The sequence below is a fragment of the Homo sapiens genome, chromosome 1 (assembly GCF_000001405.40).
Source record: "Homo sapiens chromosome 1, GRCh38.p14 Primary Assembly".
NCBI classification, from domain to species: Eukaryota; Metazoa; Chordata; class Mammalia; order Primates; family Hominidae; genus Homo; species Homo sapiens.
In genome coordinates, this window is record NC_000001.11 from 100743577 (window position 1) to 100748447 (window position 4871).

General features: G+C 37.2%; 2 annotated features.

The window, feature by feature from the left end:
- Positions 2390 to 2479: an enhancer, noted in NCBI's record as "active region_1385". NCBI's record gives its function as "activates an Ori minimal core promoter by ATAC-STARR-seq in GM12878 lymphoblastoid cells {active_cell/tissue: GM12878}" and the evidence as "EXISTENCE:reporter gene assay evidence [ECO:0000049][PMID:35858748]".
- Positions 2570 to 2619: an enhancer, noted in NCBI's record as "active region_1386". NCBI's record gives its function as "activates an Ori minimal core promoter by ATAC-STARR-seq in GM12878 lymphoblastoid cells {active_cell/tissue: GM12878}" and the evidence as "EXISTENCE:reporter gene assay evidence [ECO:0000049][PMID:35858748]".

The following is a 4871-nucleotide window of genomic DNA, read 5'->3' on the forward strand; positions in this document are numbered from 1 at the left end:
GGCAGGAGCATGGCGTGAATCCAGGAGGTGGAGCTTGCAGTGAGCCAAGATTGCGCCACTGCACTCCAGCCTGGGCAACAGAGCAAGACTGTCTCAAAAAAAAAAAAAAAAAAAAAAATTCAAATTTTTTTTCGCTTGACCACTGACTATTTCAGTTTCCTATTCTTGTTGAGCAAGTTGTGGTAGTTGGTGTCTTTCAGGAAATTTATCCATTTCATTTCAGTTGGGTTTACTGCCATTAAGTTGTTTATAATATAAAACATTATTATGCCTTTAATAACTGAAAGATCTTTACAAAGCATTTTGATCTAAAGGAAAGGGGGAACACATCCCATTAAAAATCTGTGATATACAGCTAAAGCAATGCTTAGAGTGTAATGTATAGCACTAAATGTCTACATTGTAAACAAGGTCTCAAATCAATGATCTATAGTTGTACATAGGAAACTAGAGAAAGGAGATAAAATAAAACTCAAAGTAATCAGGGAAAAGGAAAATTTAAAGATAACATTAAAAATAATAAACAGGCAAACAGTGATTCAATAAAACCCAAAACTGGTTATTTGAGAAAAATAGCAAAATTCATAAACCTCTAGCCAGACTGATATTGGGAATGAGAGAGAACACATCACTCCAGATCATGTAGACATTTGCAGGAAAATAAGAAAATTATAAACAAGTTTATGCCAATAAATTTGACAACAATGGACAGATTCCTTGAAAGAAACAAATTATCAAAGCTCATTGAAATGGAATAGACAATGTGAATAGCTCTATATCTAATAAAGAAGTTAAATGTGTGGTCTCAAAAGAAAACTCCAGGCCCAGGTGACTTCATTGGTGAATTCTACCAAACATTTAAAGATGAAATATTACCAATCTTACATAAATTCTTCCTGAAAATGGAAAACGAGGGCCTTTTTTTAATATCAGGACTTCAACTGATTAAATGAAGCCCACCTACAAACTAATCCGGAGTAACAAAAGGCAACAGATCAGTGGTTGCTTTGGGGCAGGATGGGAGGTAGCGAGGGATAAATTGCAAAGGAGCACAAAGAAAATTTTTGAATGATGGATATTTTATAATACTAATTGTGGTGATAGTTTCATGGATTTCACATATGTCAGACATCAAATCGTATAGTTTAGTATGTGCTGTTTATTATATATCAATCATACCTCTATAAAGCTGTAAAAAATAAAATATTTAAAAAGAATCGCCAGGTGCGGTGGCTTACACCTGTAATCCCCGCACTTTGGGAAGCCAAGGCGGGCAGATCACGAGGTCAGAAGATCGAGACCATCCTGGCTAACACGGTGAAACCCCGTCTCTACTAAAAATACAAAAACAAAATTATCTGGGCGTGGTGGCGGGCGCTTGTAGTCCCAGCTACTCAGGAGGCTGAGGCGGAAGAATGGCGTGAACCCGGGAGGCAGAGCTTGTAGTGAGCTGAGATCGTGTCACTACAATCCAGGCTGGGTGACAGAACGAGACTCCGTCTCAAAAAAAAAAAAAAAAAGAATCTATGATATCATATATACACATTTAATACATAAAATAGAATTATGTATACTGTGGATATATCCCCAAATACATTAAACTAGTATTTTAAAAATTGTACCTTTTTTGACAATAAGATCTGGAAATGTTAAGTTTTGTTCTTTTATTTCTTTGACTTTTCCAATCTGTCCCCTCTTTACCACAAATATCCACATTGCTATGGAAGATTTCAGATCGGTACAAAAAATGCAAATAGAACAGTTAATGAACTCTTTTTAGACTTCAAAGGTAGTTTCTTGAACTATGACTACATACAACAACATGGGTGACTCTCACAAAAAGAAGTAAAAGAAACAATTGGTAAAAGAGACCATACTATATAATTTCATTTATATGTAGCTCAAAAGCAGGCAAAACTAATACATGGTGTTAAAAGTCAGGATATTAGTTACTCCTTTGGTTACAGTGACTAGAAGGAGTAGAAGAGCTCCTTTTGGGTTCTGTTTTTGTTCTGTTGCTTGATCTGGGTGGTGGAATTTTTAATAAAAATTTACATTTCATAGGCAAATTCTTGAAAATCAAGAGCCTAGACGGATGGGGGGATTAGAGTGTATGCATTGGAAAGAGAGCAAAGAGAGAAGCAAATTACCTTGCCCACCTCCCTCCCACTTTTCATCTATCCTGGGTAATGAGAAGGAGAGTTATGTGATAAGACTTTATAGGAGACAGTATAACTTGTGTTCAAAGGGATAACGTGGCATAGAGAGGCCTCAGATAAAGGAGAGATTTCAACACAGAGAGAATGGCAAACACGAGGAAGACTCCTGCAAGCTGAGCCAAGGCATTCAGAGAGACCATACTTGCCTTACACTAGAAACCATCACATCTTTGCAGGGAAGCCAAGTCAGCTGTGCTCATCACTGCCTAGAGATGGATGCCTAGTAAACAGCTGCCTATAAACCCTTTTCATTTTCGAGTAAGATGCTGTACATGACCTGAAGTTTTGCTGAGTCCTAGCCCTTGTCAATAACCCAGGGCACTATAAAGTCCCCTTAAGGACAGGGTTAGATTCTTTATTCTTGCTGATTTTGGTTAGGAGGGGCTTTAGGCTGGGCGCGGTGGCTCACCACCTGTAATCTCAGCACTTTAGGAGGCCAAGGCAGGCAGATCACTTGAGCCCAGGCGTTTGAGACCAGCCTGGGCAACATGACGAAACCCCATCTCTACCAAAAAGTACCAAAAAATTTGCAAGGAGTGATGGCTCATACCTGTACTCGCAGCTACCCAAGAGGCTGAGGTGGGAGAACCACATGAGCCCAGGAAGTCGAGGCTGTGGTAAGCTGTGATCACACCACTGCACTTCAGCCTGGGTGACAGAGTGAGACCCTGTCTAGAAAGAAAGAAAAAGGAAAGAAAAGAAGGAAAGAAAGAGAAAGAAAGAAAGAAAGAAAGAAAGAAGGAAAGAAAGAGAAAGAAAGAGGGAGGGAGGAAGGAAGGAAGGGAGGGAAAGAAAGAAAGCGAGCCTTTAAAGGGACGTCACAGAAATGAGATGGGTAAAGGAAGGCAGGCAAGTCTTAGACCTGGATGGTAGCTGACAACTTTGGGGAAGAAGAAAACTTTTTTCCCTGACTCTCCTGGTCTCTGAAGTGGGAGTGATTGCTGTTGGATGCAATCACCTTCTCTGGCTGACTGCCATTAAAGTGAAGCATAGAAGATACTTGCCAGGGCTTTCCCTCTGCAGCAGATATTGTTTATAAATCGGAATATGAAACTATCTCATTTATTTGTCCAATATTCTACTGGGAAGGAAGTAAATGGTTGATTTCAGTGGAGATACACTAGCACTTTCATAATATTATAATATTATATCAGTAAACTTTTAGTAACCTCATAGATTTCATTGTCTGGTTTTCTTAGAAATGGATTCAAATCTCACTGTAGACTTTTGATAGTATTGGTTCTCAGCTGCTAGAATATTTTCTGAATTTATGGGAAACTTGCAATCTCTTATTCTGATTTTGTGGTAGTCAAACCATGACTAAATAACAGGTTGAAAAAATTCATGGCAGTCTACATCATGTAACCATCACCATCACCTTTTCTGCTCTGGATGAATAATGTAGGAAAATTATCAGACAGAAATCAAGATTGCTTACAAATAAAGAAAAGTCTATACAGGCTCACAAACATTTCTTGAGGAAATGCATGTTCAAATAATGATCTAACAAAGAAATTTTTTAAAGTCTGTTTCCCATATTGAATCCTCAGAAATGTCTCTTTTGCTCTGCTAATTGCAGATTTGGGGAATATGCTAGTACCAATCAAAGTGACCACTAAAATTACTGGGGAAGGCAATAACTGGGGTCAATCATCTTATATATTAAGGAGCTTCAGTTTTCTTTTGTGTAAAATTAAGAGTTTTGGCCAGATAAACTTTAAGATCCCTTCCAATGGGTAACTTTTTCCCCTCACTTTATTTTAGATAAAGTTTTCTTACATTTAGCCAAACAGAGGCCTAGGGAATCTTTTTTGTATCCTTTGCTTAATCAACTTCAATGGAGTCTTGAGGAGAAAAATAAAATATTTAAACTAATCCTAACACTAACAAGTAATTTCTGCTATGGATTCATAATGGCCAGGCTTCCCTGCAGAGAGAAAAGGAACATTTGTAATGCTCTTGGGAAAAGCTTTTGTTTTAGTCACAATGATAGTGAAAATTTCACTTCTGAAAAAAAAAAAAAAGAAAAAAAAAAGTGTGCCCTGGCTTTTCAGGCTTTGCTGCTATTGAAGAGCATGGTTTCTCTCAAAAGGGGCTAATCTGCAAGGCTTGCTTGAGAAGAGTATAACAAATTGAATGGAACCAAATGTCTGGGTTTTTTAGTGAAGAACAATGCTATCAGGAGAGAGCATTTTATTGTTTTTAGTTCTTTTCTCATTGAAAGGGACTTTGGGGGCATTATGGAGCAGTAAAACATTGCAAAGGCAATGTTTCAGTCTTGAAAAGAAGAAGAATGAGGAGACGACATTGATTTTGTGGGTAAGGCGGGCATGGTGAATCACCACTAAATTGAATTGTATTGTGATGAATTTTAACTAACTTTCTCAAATGAAAGTTTTAGTCTATGTAAAAAGATTTTTAAAATCAGAATTTGTAATTAAGACTGTTATGACTACTTTTCTTCTTTTCTTTAATCCAGCCTGCATGCAATTACAATTCATTCAATTACCAGGACATTGAATATTATTATGCTAAATCTAACAAGAAGGACTATTAAATATAGAACCTTGAATGCATGATAAAAATGAACATTATTACTTTGGCTTGGGGTCATATCTGGTACTTAGAAATTTAGAAATATTCACATGAATC